Source organism: Homo sapiens, chromosome 3, assembly GCF_000001405.40.
Source record: "Homo sapiens chromosome 3, GRCh38.p14 Primary Assembly".
Classification (NCBI taxonomy): domain Eukaryota; kingdom Metazoa; phylum Chordata; class Mammalia; order Primates; family Hominidae; genus Homo; species Homo sapiens.
The window spans coordinates 135,245,716-135,270,011 of record NC_000003.12 but is presented as its reverse complement, the minus strand read 5'-3'; the positions used below and the strand labels follow the sequence as shown (position 1 = coordinate 135,270,011).

Sequence of the window (24,296 nt, the reverse complement as noted above, 5' to 3'; positions counted from 1 at the left end):
AGCCATGTTACAGTATACTAAGATTCTCCTGAAACCAGCTTTCAAGAATGACTGCAAGACCCATTGGTAGGGACTGCCTAATGAGGCTGACTAGATAGTCCCTGGGATCAGGATTTAGTTGGTGAGGCTTTTACAAATATTTTAGGTTCCTGAAGTCTGCCCCAAGCTCTCTGACTCTAGCCACCACCCCTCCAGTCCACCTTAGGCAGGTCATGTCCAGGTTGGCCCAATTACAGAGCAGAAGGTCTTAATCATTAAGTTACACAAGGATTCAGTAAACTATGGTACATATACCACCGCAACCCTCCACCTGTTTTTATCAATAAAGCTTTATGGGAGCACAGCCACACCCATCAATTTAAATATTGTCAATGACGGCTTTCACCGGACAATAGCAGAGACGAATAGTGGCAAAAGAGACCATATGGTCCACAAAGCCTAATATAATAACTATCTCACCTTCAGTGGAAACATTTTGCCATCTCCTAATAGGTTAGATCTATTGCACAGGAGTCTGGAAGAGATGCTCAGTTTTCTTGCACTCTGGCTAGCCATGAGTTTCAGAACCATAAACAGTTAACTAAATCTCAGCAGCATATGACAGTTTGCAAATAAGACCAAAGGAATGATGTTCACTCAAATGAAATCAGCTGTACAGTAATGCCCCCTGGGCCAGACAAGTTAATGCTTGGCAAACTGCCCTCTCTGTGAAACAGCTCAGCAGGAGCTGAGCCCCATGGTGGGAAAAAAACAATAAAAAAATTGTTAATTGTTAAATTGGATGTCAGAATATCTTTCAAAATTGCAGTAGGCACTTTGTGTTTGGAAAATACCGGACTGTGAGTAAGGCTAGAGGTCACCAATAGGCAGAGGAGCTCTCCCCTTCCTGGGCAAAATAGATGAAAGGCTTGGTGCCATCTGCTCTATTCTACAGGGAGACCCACCACCAGGTGCCCTGCCCAGCTGCTGTATTTTCATTTAGAGAGAGCACAAATGAAATCATGTGAGCAGGGTTATGTCCACGGAGTCCTAGAGAGTTGTAATATACATGGCCCAACCTTGAGCCTGAGGTGAAGTAACTTCAAGAAGAATCAATGTAATCAATGAGCATGCTTGGTCTTTTGTCTTCCTCAGTTGGAAGTGACTGATGGCAAAGGTGCCTGGATTCAATTATTAGTTCATTTATTCTGCAGATTTACTGCAGAAGACAGTGCCCCAGGCCTGCAGATTCAGCCACGAATAAGACACACTCCTTTGCTTGACGGAGCTCCCAGGGATAAAGATGCATGAACAGACCGTGATAGTACAGAGGGCTGAACGCTGTGATGGTGAGGAGCACAGAGAATGGAGTGGGCAAAGAGAAGAAGCAGCTAACCCAAGTGGGAGGAATCTGGGATCCTTCAAGTAGAGCTGAGGCTTGAAGCAGAGCCAGGAAGCAGCCAGGTGAGAGGAGGTGGGACAGGGCAGGGGTTGAGCAGTGGCCACCAGGGACCATGACAGACTTGATGGGTGCAAGAGGGATGGTGTTGGGAAATGGGGACAGAGGTCATAAGGATTCATAGGTTTCCACATTTGAATTTTTCAGTTCCCTCCACAATGTTTTACCATATCCACACATTAATTGTATTATCTTTTAGTTACCATTATTTCCCTAAAACCAAGAACCAGTTTTACTTTCATAAACTTATTTTTAAAGGAACATTATAATTAGTGTGAAATAATGTATATGTTTTTGTGCTACCTATATTTTTCTGTAGTGTACATTAACATAAATGTGTAAAGGATGTGGGTACATGTGTCCTGAAACCCTCTCACCCCCTGATGGTGCACTCACCACACTTTTGGAAACCCAATAGATTGACCCCGAGGATGACATTTCAGTCACAAGAAAATCTCTGAACAGTTACTTAACTGAAGAAATCTCTTCATATGGACTAATAGGCCCAGAAATTGGGCTTTAATCGGAAGAGGATATTTGACTTAATAGCAGGGATGAAAAGCCATAGGCCTGTGTGAATGAGCAAGCAATGTGCCTATACAACATATTGAAGTTCCAGAATCTAGCCAGTGGTCCAATATGGCAAGCAGCCTGGGAATCCACCCAGGAGCAAGGCAAAGCTCAGCTCCAATCTCTGCAAACATGCAAGGCGAAGGGGAGAAATGATTACGATGACAGTTACACGTAACCATGAAGTTCACAAAACCCCCACATCCATGGAGGTTAAGGATTGACCTTTATCAGAAGGCAAGACGACTTTTTACAACAAACCTCAGGGACCCATTCATTTTCTATTTTTATATCATGTTTCCAAATCGCTAGAAGGAAAGTAAACTGATACTAGCCACCATTTACTGAGTACTCCCAACAACCAGGACCTAAACTATGTGATTTATGTGTGGCCCCTCATTTCACCCTTGCAAAACGCTGTGGGTTGAATATTACTCCCATTTTATAGACACAAAGCCTCAGAGTGTACATATGTTGCCTGCACTGTGTGGCAGGACTCAGGTGGCCAGTAGGAATTTCCAGAAGGCATCTAGCTCAGGTGGGGATATGGCTTGGTAACTCAGAGAACACACTTCAGGCAAATAGGCTCAGTTCCAATCCTTGCTTTTCAGTGTGATCTAGAACAAGCTGCTTGAACTTCTCTGAACCTTATTAGTTAATTCACTTTCAAAATGGGTATAATAGTTGTATAAGTAATTAGTTTGCCTGGCTCGTAGTAAGCACTCAAAAAAATGGCAATTGCTATTACCATTTATATTATTTAATTTATGATTATTATTTTTGAGAACTTCTCAAGTGGCCCTAATTTCAGCCCCCAACACAGGAGCACCTCCTCTAATTAGCTGGTAGAAAGATTCCCTTCACATTCTAAGAAGAATGTAAGATCCACTAAGAAGAGAAGACTCCCTTTACTTTCAGGGAAGAAAATGCTGATTAGGGCTCTTGTACTAAGTTCAGGTATAAGGGTGACAGCTGGAAATGTCTACATTTATAAATGTAAGGTATAAGTGTCACCTTATACCCAAACTTGGTACAGGAGCCCTAATCAGCATTTTCTTCTCTGAAAACATCTTGGCTCTGGTCAGAGATCCCTGAGGTGTCTATGATCACACAGAAGTCCAGTTGGCATGCCATACTCCACTGGCATTTGGGGTTAGGTGCTTGTGTGCTCAGCCTCCTGGGTCCAGACCTTTCCTAGTGTATGCTGGAGGAGGAAGGCAATTGCTTCAGGGTGGGGGTGAGGGAGATCTCCAAGAGTCAACACAGAGCCACAACAATCTAGCAAAAGGAGGACAAGCTGCTCAGAACTGGAAGCAGTTCATTTTAGCCATACGGTTTAGACACGGGACACTTTCTGCAGCCTTCATTTCCTGGAGAGGTGGGCATGACCAGAAACTGGTATTGGGTAGCCACTGAGGGCTTCTGAGCAGGAGAAGAGCCTGTGATGTTTTCATCTTCCTTTCTCACTAGATCCTCTCATTGCCCACTCTCCCATTTCATTAGAAATGGGTGTGCTTGCCTGATTACTCTCACATTGCCATGGCAAGGTCTGTGAGTTCAATCACGGCTCTTCATCACAAGAGGTTGTGGGAACTAAGTGATTAGACTGTGAGGAAATTGGAAGTTGAGGTTGAACTCTGCCAGGAACTCATGCCATGCTTCCTTTATTCATCCTCCAAACCAAATTGGAATTGCTTCACTTTAAGCCATACCATCCCTCCACCTGAACTCCCTACCTTCTTGGGGTCTGACCCTCTCAATTATCCTCTTTCTCTTTTTCTCTCTCTGTGGAATCTTTTTCATTAGCTTTTAAACATGTTCAAGTCTTTCCCACTAAAAAATAACAAAATAACAACCACCGAAAAGAGCCTCCAGCTACATCCTTACTTTTCTTCTCCTCTTCAAAGTCACTCTTTTTGAAAGACTGTGATGTTCTCTCTTTCCTCGACTCAGCCAGCATCTTCTACCAACACCTCTCTGCTGAAACTGCTCTTACTATGGTCACCCAGGCCTTCCTGTGGCTAAACACATGGGCAGTTTTTAATCCTTACCTAATACTAACCCTTTTTGGCAACACTGGGAATCGGGACCACCATTCCCTCCCTGAGATTTTTCCCATTGGCTCCATGGACACTGCACATTCCTGATTTTTCTCTCTCTCTGTAGTGACTCTGTCCAGACTCCTCTGTGAGCCTTCCTTTGCCTGGACATTTGTTAAATATAGTTGTTTCTCAGGGTCCCATGTGGGCTCACTTCTCTCTCCACTCACATTCTCATGCAGTAAACTCCTCTACTCCTGTGGCTTTAATTACCATCTAGACAAAGGATGGCTCCCAAATCTATTTCATCAGCCCAAATCTCTTTGCTGAATTATGCAGCCCTATATCCAATGGCTCATAGGCAACTCGAATTCGTATTGTCCCCCTCTCCCACAATTTCTTCCTCCTTTTGTATTCTCTATGTCAGTGAATGGTATCAACATCCACCCATTTTCCCAAATCAGAAATTTGGAGTGTCATCCTCAACTCTTCCTTCCCTCACCCCTGAAAGCCAATCCCCCTTTCCCTTCTGCTGCTCTTGCCTCCTTCTTATTTCTTGAATCAATCCACTTTTCTCCATCCCCACTGCTACTTCTACGCCTTCACCCCGGCTGCCATCATCTGCTGAGATTATTACACCAGGCTTTCAACTAGTCTCCCTGAATCAACTTTTGCCATTCGGTTTTCTATTTTGTGGCCAGAATGATTTGTATAAAATATAACTCCCTTGCTTCAACCTACTTTCCACAGCTTACACTCAGAGTAATACCTGGATTCCTTATCATGCTCTAGCCCCTGCTACCCCTCCAGCTGCTCAGAGGGAGCACTGTATACTCCAGCCTCTCCAGCAGTGTGTGAGCCCACAAACACGTCATGTACTCTCTGGCTTCTGAACCTTGGCCCTTGCTGTTCCTTCTACCTACAATTTGAGTTCCACCACTGACATCACCCCCTCAACTTGATAACTCCTTGCATTCCTCAGGTTCCAGTTTAGCAGACCACCCTGGGGTTGCCTTCTTTAACTGCCTGGGACAATGGTAGTGCCGCCTCTATGCTCCCATAGCCCTCTTCATTTTCCCATTGGAGTTATTTACAACATTGAGTTCTGCCATAAAAATTGTAGTTGAAATTTACTTGTCATTGTATTCTGTCAGAAAGCCATTTTCAGAATATAGCAGTTGCTCATGTACATGCAAATATGAATTTAAATAAGACCAGAAGAGAAAACCAAAGTTTTCTTGGGGTAAAGAGAACTTCTCTCATTTAACAGTATTTCTCAGCTGCTTAGAAGTAGCTCATTTGCCCATAATTTTGTTTTGTTTTCTTATTTCAACATTTTTTTTTCTTCTGGTGAAAGGGAGGCCACAAGAATTCTTAGAGTAATAGTGGCTTTAGAAAGGACAAACAACTCTTGGAAGAAAGCCTTAGAGTAGAGGTAGTTGTACAAAACACCAATGAAGTTTCACTGGCCAGAGAAGTGCTGCCCATCCTCTCCGCTCAGCCAGACATCTTCCAGCAGGACACAGCCCTGGTTCTGCTCTCAGAGGGTTGGGCCATCCTTCACCTCTGCTCTTCAATGTCCGTCGAATTTGCTGCCATTGTACCAGGGACAACATCAAATTCATTCCTACATCTCAAGGCCTTTGCACGATGACTGACACTCAGTGGGAGGCTGCCTCACCCCAGGCTTGGGCTCTGGGGAAAACTGTGACATTATTTTAAAGATTCAAACAGGGTTTAAAAGGAGCATTTTAAACTTCACAAAACTAAAATTAGAATAGGCTACGATTGATAGCAGTTAGAGTAATTGAGAAAGATTCCAACTAAATACCCAGGGATTAAATTATTTTAAAGCATGCTCTTTAAGGTCATGGACTTTTGTAGGTGAAATAATGACATGTTAAACTTTCTCAATTCAAACTTATTTTAGTCACCACACATTTATTGAGCATCTTCCGTGTGTCAGACAGTGTGCTGAGTGCTGAGTACATAGGTGAGTAGGATGTGCCCTGTGGCCACTTTCATTTGGAGAATTACCACAAGCTTCTGTTAGGATACTATGTGCTAAGTCATGACTCACAGCGGCATGAGAACCCCTCAAGGACCAGTGATAACAAGGCCAGCCCAGGAGGGATGCAGGAGGGAGAGCTCTCCTTTTTCCCCGGTGAGTGATGGAGGTCTATCCATCCCATCCACTCTTAATCAGGTCTGCAGAACACATCCTTCCACCCCCTACCAGGGCTTGCACTCTCTGAGAGGGACTGATAATTTGTTCTCAGACCTCTGTATAACTGTTCTTATTTGGAAATGGCTGGTCTCAAGAGACTCCCTAGTGGTGAACATAGTTGCCATTGGACCTCAGTCAACTCGAGTGACCTTCCAGTGTGATCCAGACACACCCTTCCTCTTTTGGCCACCTTTCTGTGACCTCAGGGATTCCCTTCTACTATGCTCCTGCCTGCTGTCCCAATGATATCTTGAACAATACAAAACCTCTCACTACTTTCAGAAATGGCTCTATGACTTCTACACGGACTGCAAGTCTCAGCCAATGCAGAACTCGGGCTGATAGGAATCTTAAGACCTCTTTTAGCACTGAGTGTCCTTGGAGTGCTCTGGATGGTGCCTGTTTGTGGCTGATCCCTGTCATGGCTGTGCCTTCCCCCTTGCTTCACTGACAGTGACCTCACCATGCCCCCAGCCAGTTGGTGCCAGAGCCACTAATATTTCTGAAAAGATGATGAAATTCCCAGGCTCCCCGAAAAGGCCTTCTTAGAACGCGAGGGAACTGTTAGAACCTTTCATTTTAACTGATACTTTGTAGATTCTCTTCTTCCTGCTCTATGTCTCAGTCTTCCTGCCCTCCGATATTCCTAAAGTCCTATTCCTCAACCCTCACTAATTTCTCTGCTCTCTTCTTAAGTGCATGGTCAAGGAAAACTTTACGTTCTCATTTAATTTCAATTATCCCAGGTGGCCTCGGCAAGAATCCAGTGACCTGGCTCCACATGTAACGTGGTGGGAAGGAGACATATGGAGAGGTGGAAGGCAGGAAGAAGCACATAATTTCAGTAGTGTGTGAATGTATTTGGACACCCAGGTGATACAATAAACATACAGTCTGTAGATTTATCTACCTCTCTACCAGTCATTCATGTCTTTGAGTGCTGGAAGGGGCAGGGAGAGGGTGTGGAAAGGTGGGGCATAATCTCCAAGGATTCTCCACAAATCACCTCCTTTCCCATTACCCTTGACCCGGGAACATTAATTAAACATCTCCCACTTGCCCCCGTGTGACTTCCGCCCACCGGACTCCCAGTGGCTGCAGGTGTGCTGGCTGAGCAGTCCCCTTTCTGTGAGCCACACCCTGGGCTGCACAGCATGGCTGCAGGTTCCATCTCTTTAGCCTGGTTCTCAGGGCTATGGGCCACTGACCCTTGTGCAAAGTGTGTTTTTAACTAAGGGTCCAAATTGGATTTAGTCTTCTGTGAGATGATGAGGCAGCATATGTAGCTGAAATTTAGAGCATTGGGGTCTCACTGACATAATTCTCCCCACAGAGCTTCTTTGAAGGTGTTAGGAAAGCCCCCCCTGGAGCTAAATGTGCCAGTGGAAGAGACACAAGATGCGAACCAGCCTTTCCCATCAATCACTTCATGCCAAAAGTGTGAGGGTTTGTTCCCTTCTTTCTGGGTATCTCAAGAACCTCGATCACTATTATTTCCTGAAGCAGGAGCTTTATGTCTATTATCACTAATTCTCAGGAAGGTAGGCTGGGGTAATACAGTGGTTCTCAAAGCATGGTCCCTGGACCAGCAGCATCAGCAGCACCTGGAAACTTGTGAGAAGTGCATGTTCTCCAGTTCCACTCTAGACCTGCTGAATCAGGAGCCCAAAGGTGGGGCCTGTGATCTTTGTTTTAACAATACCTCTAGGTGATACCAATGCACACTCAAGTGTGAGACCCACTGGGGTAAGTGGTTAAAAGCAAGGAGTCAGATTGCCTGAATCAAAATCCTGACTCCACCATTGTGTTTTCTGGGAAGGTCCTTTGTCTCTCAGTTTCCTCATCCAAAATTGGGAACAATAAATTACCTGCTACTATTTCACAAGGTTATGGTGAGGAAGAGATTTCATGCATGTAAGGCAGTTAGATAAGTGCCTGGCATAGAGAACCTACTCAGGAATGTTAGGTACTCTTCATTGAAGGTAGGTATTATTTTCCTATTACACAGATGAGGAAACTGAGGCTCAGAGAGGTTCATGACTGGCCCAGTGCTGCAGAGGTAATGTGTGAGGTCTCACTCACTAGTGACACATCTCCTTCCCTTCATGCTTCATGTGTTCCTGTAGTTCATCCCGGGTGTAGGGGTGGGGCCTTGTGCAGGGCATCTGTGGGGGTTGGGGGTGTCCAGATCTTGGTCGTGCCCACCTCACTGAAAACTGTGCCTCGAGGCACCCTGGCCTTGGCTCTGCTGACCCCTCATGCTTTCCTCTTGTGCACTTTGGATTCTTGCTGTCTCCATTCTGGGATCTATGGTGAAACCAAGCCAAAGGGTTTAACAGGACTTTCACCTTGACCCTGCTTTGTCCACAACCAGAAGATGAGTTGGCATTGGTGGAGGCGGTAGTGAGAATTCGGGGTTAAAGATTCTGCCAGAGGACTTTAGTGACAGATTAAAATTCATTCCTGTGGAAAATTGAGAATAGATTAGCCAAATTGCCTAGACTTGTATGATACTCATGGATCGGGGTCTTTGGGGTAATTAGTAAATTGTGCATGGAATTGGTAAGCAATTAATAAAGGGAAATTTTCTCTTCTACCTGCATGGTTGGATTGGGGTCCTTTGCAGCCTCAGGCAAACTTGCTGAGAGGAGTTCTGTCCATCCACTTCCATTCTCCAGGGGTTCAGCCATGGATGGTGATTTAAGATGAGCTCCACTGAATTAATGCTGTACCCCCAGGCTTGTGGACCACTTTGAAGGGGTTAATTGTTCGGGGAATCTTGGCCGGTGATTTTAGAAGGTAAGAACCACCCCATATCAAAGTTAACAATGACTAGGGGAAAAGGCTATTATCAGTGTAAGCATGTATTAAATGAGCTACTTGGCAACCATAACACCTTTCACTGCCTCATATCTCTTCACTCCCAACTGCATGTTCATAGATAAACCACAGCAAGCAGTCTACATTTACAAAATTGGCCTGGATGTGGACTTCTCAAATGCAGTGCGTAAACTAAAATCAGGGTTGATAGTGTATTCATGGTGATTGTTTATGTTTATTTGCCAGCGACTTCTTAAGCCTTATTTATTCAGTTTTTCCTTTGGATCACGTCAGTGCCAGAGAGTTTACTACATTCTGCTTCTTGGCATTCATGGGGTCAAGGATGTGTTCCCTCCCTCCCACATTAGAAAGAAGAAGGACAGTTGTTAAGGATTCTCCTGAAATTTGGGGACAACCCTCTGGGATCCAGGGATACACACTCTGACACCATTTTACGTAAACCCAGACATGCTTCTGCTCTTTTTAATTAGACAGATAAAATTAGCAAGGAGATTAAGGTAAAAGGAGAAATTTAAAATAATTAAATGTTAGGTGGAATTTACAAAAGTGAATTGAACAATGAGGTACAACAAGGAATGTAAAGAGAAACACAGACACATTTGAAACATTCCTCGGATGCCACACGGCTTAAGCCAGTCCATAGGTAAAGCAAGAATTCTCCCTTGTCACTTCTTGAATTGCAGATTCCAGTGATGTGAAAGAACATTCTCCAGAAACACTTTCCTTCTCCTTTTCTTGAGATGTTATCAGGAATAATTAATCAGTCAGTATCATTCCAGGATGGCCCACACTGCATCCAATTCAAACCACTCACCTGTTTCCTGTCTGAATTTGCAAACTTTTTTTTTTCCTTTCATTTTATTTTTCTCCCTCTCCTCTCTTCCCATTGAGCCAATAGGCCGATTGGGCCAACCAGAAAGCCAAACCAACACCATATTCCAGCCCCTTTGGATTTCCTAGGGACAAAGACTTCCCAGTTCTTCTTTCTTGTTTGCATCTGTTACGAACAAGCACAGTCATTTTATAACACAGACATACATATGTGTGCTTTTGCACACGGAAACAGGTTTTTCTTCTTTTTTTTTCCCCAATTTGTGGTTTCTTTTTCCTTTTTGCAGAAAATGCAAACAAAAGAAAAACGAGGTTTTCAATTGAAGGTACATCTCTTCTTCAATATGAAGACATTAATTGAATTGGTTGGATCCCCATGCAGTGGTCAGCAAAGTCCTTTGGCAACTGACAGAACAACATCTGGAGACTCAGGAGCTGGGTTTTGTTTGAAGAAACTTCCCTACAGGAGTCATGAGCAAAGGGAAACGAGTGTGGGAGAAGGGAGGGGACTCTCAGGGAGGAGTACGAAAGGAGAAAAGAAAAGAATGTCATTGGTGAGGAAGAAAATGGAACACTGCTTCTGTTTCTTCCCTCTACCTCCTTCCCTTTCTTCCTGTGGTTGGGCAACTGCAGCCCACTGAGAATGGGAGCTGGGTTTACTCTTGTTCTCCTGATGCATATTGTTTTGTCTTCACTTCTGTTGAACATCACCTTTTTATATTTTTATTATTATATATTTGGTTTCCCACGGCATCTCAAACATGCTTCTGTCACTGAGAAATGGAGATTGCCTGCTAGCAACAGGTCCGGTTGATTCTTCACTGATGGAAATGCATTCCTCAGCTGAGAAGCCAGTCTCTCCAGTACATTCCACAGTGGTCAACCTCTGGTCCCCCTTGACCCTGGTCCTTTTCCCTCCTCTCCTTCCCCAAGAAACAAGAGTTCTCATGCCATTGCCGTTGGTGACTGACTTATCTGGACCCTCATAGAATGAATGCTGTTCAGGATCTTCTTCTGATGGCCTGCCAAGGTGATGCCTATTCTCAGGAGGTCTCTAGGAGGAAAGAGCCAGAAAAGAAGTCACTTTAGTGTTAGGTTAGCTTTTCGCAGATCAAAACTCATCACTAAAGCCATGTTCTTGGGAAGTAGCCATGCTACAAAAATCCAACTAGCTTAAGTTTACCCAAATTTTTGGCAAACTTCCAATTAGAGATTTTCCTGCTCACTTTCTCCTTCTTCTCTAATGCTTCCTCCAGCTTAGGCAATCCTGGGAGTGCTGTGCCTTGTTCCAGGGGTGTGTTCCTTATGTACGGGCTCTAAGGCAGCCCCTTCATTGTCTCCTGACCCTCAGATGGACTGGAATTTTCCTCTGCTATTTTTTAACACTCCAAGTGCACACTATACGGGGCTTCAGTTATTCTGTGGAGTTTTCTGCCTAAATTAGTGATCACCCACTGAGACTGAAAAGATGTGGGGCTCACCTGGTCTTCTGATGTTTTCCCCTGAGTTTCCATTTGCTGCCTCCATGTGAATTTTAATGTATGCATTTTTAAGAAGAGTGGGCTCAAAATAACTAAAATATCTGCCCAATCAGGAACCCAAGGAATATGTCCAGGATAGAGCACTGAATTGGATTAATAAGAACAAGTTCATGGCTTATAGTTGACCTGTGCTAGACCCATGCATTCTTCCTAGGTTAATAATAATACATAACACTGCTTGAATGCATCCCACGTGCCATACACTATCTCATTTAAACCTATGTGAAAGCATTTCATAAAAATAGAGAAACCACTGCAAACACAATGATGATAAAAATTTAATTAACAGTGATTGGAGGAGCCAAGATGGCCGAATAGGAACAGCTCCAGTCTACAGCTCCCAGCGTGAGCGACGCAGAAGACGGGTGATTTCTGCATTTCCATCTGAGGTACCGGGTTCATCTCACTAGGGAGTGCCAGACAGTGGGTGCAGGTCAGTGGGTGCGTGCACGAGCCGAAGCAGGGTGAGGCATTGCCTCACTTGGGAAGCGCAAGGGGTCAGGGAGTTCCCTTTCCTAGTCAAAGAAAAGGGTGATGGACGGCACCTGGAAAATCGGGTCACTCCCACCCGAATACTGCACTTTTCCGACAGGCTTAAAACACGGCGCACCACGAGATTATATCCCACACCTGGCTCGGAGGGTCCTATGCCCACGGAGTCTCCCTGATTGCTAGCACAGCAGTCTGAGATCAAACTGCAAGGCAGCAGCCAGGCTGGGGGAGGGGCGCCCACCATTGCCCAGGCTTGCTTAGGTAAACAAAGCAGCCGGGAAGCTCGAACTGGGTGGAGCCCAGCTCAAGGAGGCCTGCCTGCCTCTGTAGGCTCCACCTCTGGGGGCAGGGCACAGACAAACAAAAAGACAGCAGTAACCTCTGCAGACTTAAATGTCCCTGTCTGACAGCTTTGAAGAGAGCAGTGGTTCTCCCAGCACGCAGCTGGAGATCTGAGAACGGGCAGACTGCCTCCTCAGGTGGGTCCCTGACCCCTGACCCCCCCAGCAACCTAACTGGGAGGCACCCCCCAGCAGGGGCACACTGACACCTCACATGGCAGGGTACTCCAACAGACCTGCAGCTGAGGGTCCTGTCTGTTAGAAGGAAAACTAACAAACAGAAAGGACATCCACACCAAAAACCCATCTGTACATCACCATCATCAAAGACCAAAAGTAGATAAAACCACAAAGATGGGGAAAAAACAGAACAGAAAAGGTGGAAACTTTAAAAAGCAGAGCGCCTCTCCTCCTCCAAAGGAACGCAGTTCCTCACCAGCAACGGAACAAAGCTGGATGGAGAATGACTTTGACGAGTTGAGAGAAGAAGGCTTCAGACGATCAAATTACTCTGAGCTACGGGAGGACATTCAAACCAAAGGCAAAGAAGTTGAAACCTTTGAAAAAAATTTAGAAGAATGTATAACTAGAATAACCAATACAGAGAAGTGCTTAAAGGAGCTGATGGAGCTGAAAACCAAGGCTCGAGAACTACGTGAAGAATGCAGAAGCCTCAGGAGCCAATGCAATCAACTGGAAGAAAGGGTATCAGCAATGGAAGATGAAATGAATGAAATGAAGCGAGAAGGGAAGTTTAGAGAAAAAAGAATAAAAAGAAATGAGCAAAGCCTCCAAGAAATATGGGACTATGTGAAAAGACCAAATCTACGTCTGATTGGTGTACCTGAAAGTGATGGGGAGAATGGAACCAAGTTGGAAAACACGCTGCAGGATATTATCCAGGAGAACTTCCCCAATCTGGCAAGGCAGGCCAACGTTCAGATTCAGGAAATACAGAGAACGCCACAAAGATACTCCTCGAGAAGAGCAACTCCAAGACATAATTGTCAGATTCACCAAAGTTGAAATGCAGGAAAAAATGTTAAGGGCAGCCAGAGAGAAAGGTCGGGTTACCCTCAAAGGGAAGCCCATCAGACTAACAGCAGATCTCTCGGCAGAAACCCTACAAGTCAGAAGAGAGTGGGGGCCAATATTCAACATTCTTAAAGAAAAGAATTTTCAACCCAGAATTTCATATCCAGCCAAACTAAGCTTCATAAGGGAAGGAGAAATAAAATACTTTACAGACAAGCAAATGCTGAGAGATTTTGTCACCACCAGACCTGCCCTACAAGAGCTCCTGAAGGAAGCGCTAAATATGGAAAGGAACAACCAGTACCAGCTGCTGCAAAATCATGCCAAAATGTAAAGACCATTGAGACTAGGAAGAAACTGCATCAACTAACAAGCAAAATAACCAGCTAACATCATAATGACAGAATCAAATTCACACATAACAATATTAACTTTAAACGTAAATGGACTAAATGCTCCAATTAAAAGACACAGACTGGCAAATTGGATAAAGAGTCAAGACCCATCAGTGTGCTGTATTCAGGAAACCCATCTCATGTGCAAAGACACACATAGGCTCAAAATAAAAGGATGGAGGAAGATCTACCAAGCAAATGGAAAACAAAAGAAGGCAGGGGTTGCAATCCTAGTCTCTGATAAAACAGACTTTAAACCAACAAAGATCAAAAGAGACAAAGAAGGCCATTACATAATGGTAAAGGGATCAATTCAACAAGAAGAGCTAACTATCCTAAATATATATGCACCCAATACAGGAGCACCCAGATTCATAAAGCAAGTCCTGAGTGACCTACAAAGAGACTTAGACTCCCACACATTAATAATGGGAGACTTTAACACCCCACTGTCAACATTAGACAGATCAATGAGACAGAAAGTCAACAAGGATACCCAGGAATTGAACTCAGCTCTGCACCAAGCAGACCTAATAGACATCTACAGAACTCTCCACCCCAAGTCAACAGAATAAACACTTTTTTTCAGCACCACACCACACCTATTCCAAAATTGACCACATACTTGGAAGTAAAGCTCTCCTCAGCAAATGTAAAAGAACAGAAATTATAACAAACTATCTCTCAGACCACAGTGCAATCAAACTAGAACTCAGGATTAAGAATCTCACTCAAAACCGCTCAACTACATGGAAACTGAACAACCTGCTCCTGAATGACTACTGGGTACATAACGAAATGTAGGCAGAAATAAAGATGTTCTTTGAAACCAACGGAAACAAAGACACAACATACCAGAATCTCTGGGATGCATTCAAAGCAGTGTGTAGAGGGAAATTTATAGCACTAAATGCCCACAAGAGAAAGCAGGAAAGATCCAAAATTGACACCCTAACAAACATCACAATTAAAAGAACTAGAAAAGCAAGAGCAAACACATTCAAAAGCTAGCAGAAGGCAAGAAATAACTAAAATCAGAGCAGAACTGAAGGAAATAGAGACATAAAAAACCCTTCAAAAAATTAATGAATCCAGGAGCTGGTTTTTTGAAAGGATCAACAAAATTGATAGACCGCTAGCAAGACTAATAAAAAAAGAGAGAGGAATCAAATAGACACAATAAAAAATGATAAAGGGGATATCACCACCGATCCCACAGAAATACAAACTACCATCAGAGAATACTACAAACACCTCTACGCAAATAAACTAGAAAATCAAGAAGAAATGGATAAATTCCTTGACACATGCACTCTCCCAAGACTAAACCAGGAAGAAGTTGAATCTCTGAATAGACCAATAACAGGATCTGAAATTGTGGCAATAATCAATAGCTTACCAACCAAAAAGAGTCCAGGACCAGATGGATTCACAGCCGAATTCTATCAGAGGTACAAGGAGGAATTGGTACCATTCCTTCTGAAACTATTCCAATCAATAGAAAAAGAGGGAATCCTCCCTAACTCATTTTATGAGGCCAGCATCATTCTGATACCAAAGCCAGGCAGAGACACACACAAAAAAAAGAGAATTTTAGACCAATATCCCTGATGAACATTGATGCTAAAATCTTCAATAAAATACTGGCAAACCGAATCCAGCAGCACATCAAAAAGCTTATTCACCATGATCAAGTGGGCTTCATCCTTGGGATGCAAGGCTGGTTCAATATACGCAAATCAATAAATGTAATCCAGCATATAAACAGAGCCAAAGACAAAAACCACATGATTATCTCAATAGATGCAGAAAAGGCCTTTGACAAAATTCAACAACCCTTCATGCTAAAAACGCTCAATAAATTAGGTATTGATGGGACGTATTTCAAAATAATAAGAGCTATCTATGACAAACCCACAGCCAATATCATACTGAATGGGCAAAAACTGGAAGCATTCCCTTTGAAAACTGGCACAAGACAGGGATGCCCTCTCTCACCACTCCTATTCAACATAGTGTTGGAAGTTGTGGCCAGGGCAATTAGGCAGGAGAAGGAAATAAAGGGTATTCAATTAGGAAAAGAGGAAGTCAAATTGTCCCTGTTTGCAGATGACATGATTGTATATCTAGAAAACCCCATTGTCTCAGCCCAAAATCTCCTTAAGCTGATAAGCAACTTCAGCAAAGTCTCAGGATACAAAATCAATGTACAAAAATCACAAGCATTCTTATACACCAACAACAGACAAACAGAGAGCCAAATCATGAGTGAACTCCCATTCACAATTGCTTCAAAGAGAATAAAATACCTAGGAATCCAACTTACAAGGGATGTGAAGGACCTCTTCAAGGAGAACTACACACCACTGCTCAAGGAAATAAAAAAGGATACAAACAAATGGAAGACCATTCCATGCTCATGGGTAGGAAGAATCAATATTGTGAAAATGGCCATACTGCCCCAGGTAATTTACAGATTCAATGCCATCCCCATCAAGCTACCAATGCCTTTCTTCACAGAATTGGAAAAAACTACTTTAAAGTTCATATGGAACCAAAAAAGAGCCCGCATCGCCAAGTCAATCCTAAGCCAAAAGAACAAAGCTGGAGGCATCACACTACCTGACTTCAAACTATACTACAAGGCTACAGTAACCAAAACAGCATGGTACTGGTACCAAAACAGAGATATAGATCAATGGAACAGAACAGAGCCCTCAGAAATAATGCCGCATATCTACGACTATCTGATCTTTCACAAACCTGAGAAAAACAAGCAATGGGGAAAGGATTCCCTATTTAATAAATGGTGCTGGGAAAACTGGCTAGCCATATGTAGAAAGCTGAAACTGGATCCCTTCCTTACACCTTATACAAAAATTAATTCAAGATGGATTAAAGACTTAAATGTTAGACCTAAAACCATAAAAACCCTAGAAGAAAACCTAGGCATTACCATTGAGGACATAGGCATGGGCAAGGACTTCATGTCTAAAACACCAAAAGCAATGGCAACAAAAGCCAAAATTGACAAATGGGATCTAATTAAACTCAAGAGCTTCTGCACAGCAAAAGAAACTACCATCAGAGTGAACAGGCAACCTACAAAATGGGAGAAAATTTTCACAACCTACTCATCTGACAAAGGGCTAATATCCAGAATCTACAATGAACTCAAACAAATTTACAAGAAAAAAACAACCCCATCAAAAAGTGGGCAAAGGACATGAACAGACACTTCTCAAAAGAAGACATTTATGCAGCCAAAAAACACATGAAAAAATGCTCACCATCACTGGCCATCAGAGAAATGCAAATCAAAACCACAATGACATACCATCTCACACCAGTTAGAATGGCAATCATTAAAAAGTCAGGAAACAACAGGTGCTGGAGAGGATGTGGAGAAATAGGAACACTTTTACACTGTTGGTGGGACTGTAAACTAGTTCAACCATTGTGGAAGTCAGTGTGGCGATTCCTCAGGGATCTAGAACTGGAAATACCATTTGACCCAGCCATCCCATTACTGGGTATATACCCAAAGGACTATAAATCATGCTGCTATAAAGACACGTGCAAACGTATGTTTATTGTGGCATTATTCACAATAGCAAAGACTTGGAACCAACCCACATGTCCAACAATGATAGACTGGATTAAGAAAATGTGGCACACATACACCGTGGAATACTATGCAGCCATAAAAAATGATGAGTTCATGTCCTTTGTAGGGACATGGATGAAATTGGAAATCATCATTCTCAGTAAACTATCGGGAGAACAAAAAACCAAACACCGCATATTCTCACTCATAGGTGGGAATTGAACAATGAGATCACATGGACACAGGAAGGGGAACATCACACTCTGGGGACTGTGGTGGGGTGGGGGGAGGGGGGAGGGATAGCATTGGGAGATATACCTTATGCTAGATGACGAGTTAGTGGGTGCAGCGCACCAGCATGGCACATGTATACATATGTAACTAACCTGCACAATGTGCACATGTACCGTAAAACTTAAAGTATAATAATAAAAAATAAATAAAAAATATTAAAAAATAAAAATAAAATAAAATTAAGCTATGGACAGAAAAAAAAATTTAACAGTAACAATTTTTTTGTGTGCATGCTATGGGTAGATAATGGATCAAGTACTTTGCATGTGCCATTCCATTAACCTCCCATCACAAACACTAATGAGATGGGCATTATTATTTATAATAATTTATAAATTATTTATAAACAAGGCAAGTAGGGCTCAGAGAAATTAAGTAATGTGCTCAAGGTCACACAGTAGGTAAGCAGTGGTGGAGCTAGTGTTCAAATACAAGAGAAGTTGGTTCTCAGCACCCATGCAGGGATGCTGGCAGAACTCTTCCAAGGTCCTGACTGTATTTCCTCTAAAGCCCCCTGAACCCAGCACAGCTGATTGCTTTGTACACTGCACATCACACCCTGGTGAACGCTTGGCTGGATCTCTGTCCACAATGCCTTGGCTCTCCCACACCATGCCCTTTTCAGCTGGTAGTCAGTCTCCCAAGGGATGCTGCTGGTTGAGATGCTCAAAGTGTTCATGTCTTTTTGGCAAATACTTTAGGGAAGCATGCTTGAATTTTGAATTCACAGATTGTCCCACAATCTATTTTATTAAGTTGCTCAGTTTCTTTTTCCATCTTTTACCTCTCAAGAAACAAATCAAATTGCTCTAATAGTGTGTGGACATGTTTTACTTTGAATGAAATCCCTTAATTTATAGTTTCACTTTCCTTTTGGTCTTCCCCTTATCTTTGTCATTGATTATTCTCAGACTAAGAGAATTCTTTTAGATCCTGGGGGATTACGTGACAATGGCCCCCATACGCAGTCAAATCACAGTGGGAAAATGGGAGTAGCCAGTCTTCATAAACACCCATTTCTATCCCTGAACTCAGTCCCTCTGATTATCTAGGGGCATCAATTTTTCACTCTAAAAGATGAGGAAGCTGGTTTCCCACTGGTAAGTGCTTCTTTTCTATTTATTTATTTTTGCTGTCTATTTGACAGTCATTCTTAATGGAAGGAACCATCTTTTTTTGGCATCACCAGGAAATTAATCTAGTTTTTAAGAAATGTATTCTGATGTTCAGTGGATCGAAAGCTAGACACACATTCAAACCATCTCCCTGGAGAAAGTGGTGGCTCCATCATTTCTGAAAAAAAAAAAATAGACCTCAGAGAGGTAGAGCTGGACTCCAGGAATATTGGCAGGAAAACTGTTGGAATGTCAGGAAGCTGTCCCTGGGGGCTCAGCTATAGGGGTGGATCACTACTGCTCTTTCCTGGGACTCAGCAACCGGTTTGTCCCAGCTGCAAGGAGGGAATCCCAGCACCTTGCACTGTGCCCATTGTATAACAGGTGATCAATACGTGTTCGCAGACTGATGGATGAATGAATCTTCTACCATAAGAAATGTGTACTACAGGCTGCCAGATCCCACAATATGTGCTATCGGTACATGTTGTAGCCCACGGAGCCCATGAAGTCCCCCCGGTGTGTGTGTATGTGTGTGTGTTTGAAGGGTAGAGTTAATTTCCAAGGTAGGATTATCTGAGCTTCTGTGAGTGTAGAAGGTGAAATTTTACCCTTACCAACCTTAATCCAGTGGTTCCCAAACTTTGCTGCACATTAGAATCACCTGAGGAGCTTTAAAAAACCCTTATGCTCAGATCTTACCACAACTAATCAGAAGGTATGGGAGTGAGAACCAGGCATCAATATTTTTTAAAGGCCCTCAGGTGATTCCAGTGTGCAGCAAAGCCTGGGAACCACTGAGGCCCTGGGGTGGACAGGTAGCAGAATATTGAACTGGCAGCCAGAAAAGCAGGCTTGTGTCCCAGCTTTGCCACCTGTGAGGACCAATGTCATGTAATTTCAGAATCTGCTGAATGGAAGGGGTGGAACCAGATAAATATTTCCCAGACTACAGTTCTATAAAACCCTGCCCCTCAAAAATATGGTTCTATGGTATTTAATAATTTTAAATGGGTTCCTTTATTTCAGGATTTCTCATGGCCTTTATAATGCTAATATGAGCAGTGAATCTCCAAGAGGGTGATAAAGTACACAATATTTCCCAAATTTATTTGACAGTGGGACCTTTTTTCCAAGGAGAACCTATTAACATTTCCCACAACTGGTGCTTCTCAGAACATTCTTGGGGGAAATGCTGGACCACATGGATCTTTAAAACTCTTTCTGGCTCTCGTCTTATTTGAATAATTTTATTTTGTGTATTCCTCCAAACTCCTGAGGGAGCCACAGACTGGTAAATAATTGTGGGGGATGGAAATGCATGCTTGTTGACAACTGCTATCTAAGTATAAGGACAAGCTCCCCACATATCTCAGACTGTTGCTGAATCAGTGCAATGCTTTTCCTGCTGTTATTTAAAGTACTAGATGGCTGTGTTCTTTCCATCTGGATGCTCTCTTTGATGAGTTGAGTTTAAAAACTTAAATGGGGAAGAGACTCTGGGTGATTAGGCAAATGACATATGGCTATAACTTTGAAGAACTCTCATTTGGGTCCCAGAGTGGATCTCCACCTCCCCATCCCACCCTCACATCCCCCTTCATCTTTCCAAGGTGCTCCCCATCCAGGCCTGGTCTATACAGAGACGGAGCTCCAGGGATGAGGCCAGAAATAGGACTCACACCATCTGCAATAGCAGGGAAGGAGCACTGACCCCTAGGTGTGGTCTGGACAGAGAGATTCTCATCACTTACTCTGATGTCATCTGGGTGACCAGCTGGAGGGAGGTGAAGCCAGCAGTGAGGAAGCTGTCCCTGTACTGGACCATTTTGATGGCGCTGAGCCAGTCATCCACGGTGGTAAAGGCCGTGAAGTCTGGGATGGAGCGGTCGAGCAGGGGCTGGGAAGGCCTGGTGAGACAGAGATGGGCAGGTGACCACACATTGCAGAGATGCATGGACAGTGCCCCAGTCTGGCCTGACAGCTGACTTCATGGAAGGCAGCATCCCTGATGGAATGAGGATTATAGTGGAGCCCTGGGCTGAACCTTTCTTCTTCATGGAATCCTAAATCAGCATGACTTCTACATCCAGGTGGCCAGTGTCTCTGCCTCTGGGCACTGTCACAGTTCAGTTAACCCAGACAGACAGGTTGACATAGCGTTCAGTCTGAAGGGAACGGAAGGCTCCCAACTCCTTTGTAAACCAAAATTTAGGAGCCTCACCATTCAAAGACGTAGTCCTTTTAAAAATATGCATATTTTATCACAACCTCCCCAGATATATTGGTAACATTGTTTTTCCTAGTTTCATCCTTAGCTATTTGAAAAAAAAAATGGAGCAGTGAGACCCATTGCCGACCTTCTCTGGCACATTTTCAAAGCAGACACCCAGGTATCCAAACCAGAAATCCGGGTGCTATCTTGACATCTCCCTCACCCTCAATATCCATGTCCAATCCTTCACCAAGTCATAAAGATTTTGTCTCTCAAATCCCCAAAACTCGTTTACTTTTTTCCACAACCATTATCCTGATTTAAGACACTATTTTCTCTATCATGATCATTGCAATGTTCTCCTGTCTTTCTTCATGCATGTTGCTCTCCTCAACATAAGGCCCACACTGCAACTAGATACTCTTTAAAAAATTCGAACATGATCATGGTCAGAGGCTGCTGGCTATGCCCCTGACCATGAAACCAGCCATATTTAGGGATCACCGTTTCACTAGACTCACACGGCGGTGATGGTTGCCACAGTCTTGAGACTTGCCGGGTTCCGGATCATCTTATCTAGGGTGTTGACAATCTCCGCAAACCGGGGCCGGCTGTTCCGGTCCTTCTGCCAACAGTCCAGCATGAGCTGGTGTAGAGCAGCTGGACAGTCCATGGGTGGGGGCAGCCGGTAGTCCTGCTCGATGGCATTGATGACCTGCAGTGACATACAGGGAACAGGTGTGATTGAGTGACTGCCACCAGCCAGTCACTCACAAATTATCCCCTTTATATGGAGCCTCCCTGATCCAGGCTGTCTCAGATGCCCTTGCTCTGTGCTTGCACACCTTCCGCTGTAATGGATTTTCTGTGCACTTGGTTTATCCCCCTAGACATTGGGCTCCTAGAAAGCAGGGGCCACATTGTAGTACTTCTTTATGTCCCCAGCTCCTGGTGCAGGGCCTGACACACATGGACCTCTGTAAATGTTTGTTGAAGAATGAGCCAGTGAACAGCTTGAGCATCTCCGCTCTTTAAGAAGACATAGGGCCCAATTCTGCCTTACTGGAAGCTGGTGGCACTAGGAGTGATGAAACAATGACACATGGGAAACCCAGTGAACCCACTATTTATAAAGGATGTCCTCAAAACTTGTGGTGGACTCATTCTTTCATTTGGAAGAGAAGAGAAAGGGAGGAAAGGGATTAGCATTGATGGAGCACTTACTCCATGCTAGAGACCCTCTAGATGCCTCCTCTGCATTATTTGCCATATTCCTCATGAGGCAGCAACATGAATGGGCTTGGTTAAACAAATAATTGGTTCAAATCAATGACAACAGTCAAAATAACAAGGTGGTCCAAAATGAATACCGTCAATCAGATTTTGGTAATTTTCACAAACGCCAGAGAGTAATTTTGTAAAGATTTTAGGAACGTTAAGTACATTGTCTGTTTTTCAGATCTTTGTGTTTTTTCATCCAGTACATCTTAACTAACTTCAAATGCATTTAAATCAATTATGCCTACACTGTGCTTTTTACATTAAAAAAATAATTGTAAGTGACGCAAGTGCTAAACATATGAATTTATTATGGTACACCCATAATGCAACAGAAGGCCTAAAATACAATGTAGGCCTTAAAGTAATACTACAAAAATCCATCTATTGAGATGGAAATATGCTCATACTGTAACAGGTAAAAGAGCTGGCTGCATAACTTCAGAAATAGTATAATCTTGCTTTGTAAAAAACAAAAACCAACTATTATAGACATGCATAGAAAAGACCTTGGAAGGATATACAGCATGGTGTTAATAGCAGTTGCCTCTGGATAGGCAGAAACCTGAATATTTTTCATGTGTTTCTCTTTGCTTGTTTGAATTTTTTATTTTCTATAATAATCCTGCATTAATTTTATATTAAAATAAACAGTTAAAGCATTTTAAACAACAAAGGAAATAATTTGGAGTTCAGGGTGTTTTTGGTGTTTTTGCCTCTACTTAAAAAATAATGAGATTCATTTCAACTGATTATTCTTTCTTTTTTATATACTTTATAAATTGGTCAAAAAGTGAGTATTTTCAGTTAGTTTAGTTTTTACAGTTTCTATGCATAGTATGTAGGACATGAGATAGGACATGAGATAAAATGATAACCAAGTCATTGGAGATAATCAAAGTGTATTAGTTCTTTCATTCAATAGGGTGAAAATCAAGCATACAAACCACATCAATTTTATCGCTATATTTAAAAATCCAGTGACTGGGAGTACTCACTTTTGAACACTGTGTTGCACTGACAATCTTTTTTCTCCTCCTCCTCTAAACTGTTGTCAATCAAATTCCCCTGCTATCCTCTGAGGACAACCATTTTAACCCCATTTCCCCATGAGAAAATGGAGGCATGAGCAGTGAAATAATTTGCCCAGGGGCACACATCTAGCAAAAGATAGGGCTGGGAATAAATCACAGCGGTGCTTGATTTTAAGTTTTGAATACTTCAAAAGCCGTATTTCCTAGGCCTCTGTTGAGCTGCCATAGTAATCTCAGCCTGGAGAACAGCCCCTGGAGGTGTCGGCTGTCTTCTTGGCATGCAACAAGGGCATGGGGCTAAACTAAGTAATCTATGAGAATGAGCAGCTGTGCATCATTCCCATCAGCCTGGCTCACAAACCCCGCACCCTTTTCCAGTTCCTTCCAAGTAACTAGATTGAGGGTCCCAGTCACAGAATCTCCAAGTGGGATTACCCATTGAATGGCCCCTAGAGCTCCTTCTGGGTTGCATAAGGGCAGGTTAGGTAGGGCCAGCAGGAGGAGCTAGAGTCCAAACTCAACCTCTCATGATGCCAGGGGTCCCCAAAGTCTTCCAGTGCAGGGCAGTTAATGTTCCTGGTGGTCCCCTAAACTAATGGCATCTCTGCTCAGATCATTAGATGCTAGAGCCCCAGATACTAATTTTCCTCACTGACAAGACAGCTTTACCACCTGTCCTGGAACAAGAAGGAGCACTGGAGTCAGGGCCTTTCTGAGAGAGCGCAGCTCCATGATGTGACCAGCTGACCCAACCTCTTTTGGCAAGGGATCAAGAGAATGGGGACCCATGCACATGCTGAGTCTTCTGCCTGTGAGCTCTAGACCGAATGTAACTCAATTCTGTTTCCCTTATTGTCTCCACTGCATGGCATCATGGCATCTCATTGGCTTTTTTTTTTTTTTTTTTTTTTTTGAGATGGTGTCTCGCTCTCTTGCTCATGCTGGAGTGCAGTGGCACAATCTCAGATCACTGCAACCTCCACCTCCTGGGTTCAAGCAATTC

The 24,296-nt window shown here is 43.3% G+C and overlaps 1 protein-coding gene across 1 annotated transcript in view, besides 3 other annotated features; it reads right to left on the bottom strand.

Annotated features, from left to right (window-relative positions):
- Window positions 1–9,544: 9,544 nt before the first annotated feature.
- The window catches only part of EPHB1 (EPH receptor B1), a 465,208-nt gene continuing 450,456 nt past the window's right edge, over window positions 9,545–24,296 (bottom strand). The window contains exons 14-16 of the mRNA NM_004441.5: window positions 21,503–21,696; window positions 20,521–20,676; window positions 9,545–11,000 (exon numbers count right to left, since the gene is read on the bottom strand). Of these exons, the coding sequence (NP_004432.1) occupies window positions 10,892–11,000; window positions 20,521–20,676; window positions 21,503–21,696 (459 nt within the window). The 3' untranslated portion in view covers window positions 9,545–10,891. The remainder of the gene's footprint in view (window positions 11,001–20,520; window positions 20,677–21,502; window positions 21,697–24,296) is intronic.
- Window positions 11,458–12,073: an enhancer, noted in NCBI's record as "NANOG-H3K27ac-H3K4me1 hESC enhancer chr3:134976781-134977396 (GRCh37/hg19 assembly coordinates)". NCBI's record gives its function as "activates a minimal SCP1, AML or CMV promoter by ChIP-STARR-seq in primed H9 embryonic stem cells {active_cell/tissue: H9 hESC(primed)}" and the evidence as "EXISTENCE:reporter gene assay evidence [ECO:0000049][PMID:30033119]".
- Window positions 12,074–12,689: an enhancer, noted in NCBI's record as "NANOG-H3K27ac-H3K4me1 hESC enhancer chr3:134976165-134976780 (GRCh37/hg19 assembly coordinates)". NCBI's record gives its function as "activates a minimal SCP1, AML or CMV promoter by ChIP-STARR-seq in primed H9 embryonic stem cells {active_cell/tissue: H9 hESC(primed)}" and the evidence as "EXISTENCE:reporter gene assay evidence [ECO:0000049][PMID:30033119]".
- Window positions 20,469–20,672: a silencer, noted in NCBI's record as "fragment chr3:134968182-134968385 (GRCh37/hg19 assembly coordinates)". NCBI's record gives its function as "represses an EF-1alpha promoter that drives an FKBP-Casp9 reporter gene in an ReSE screen in phorbol 12-myristate 13-acetate-treated (for megakaryocytic differentiation) K562 erythroleukemia cells {active_cell/tissue: K562(+PMA)}" and the evidence as "EXISTENCE:reporter gene assay evidence [ECO:0000049][PMID:32094911]".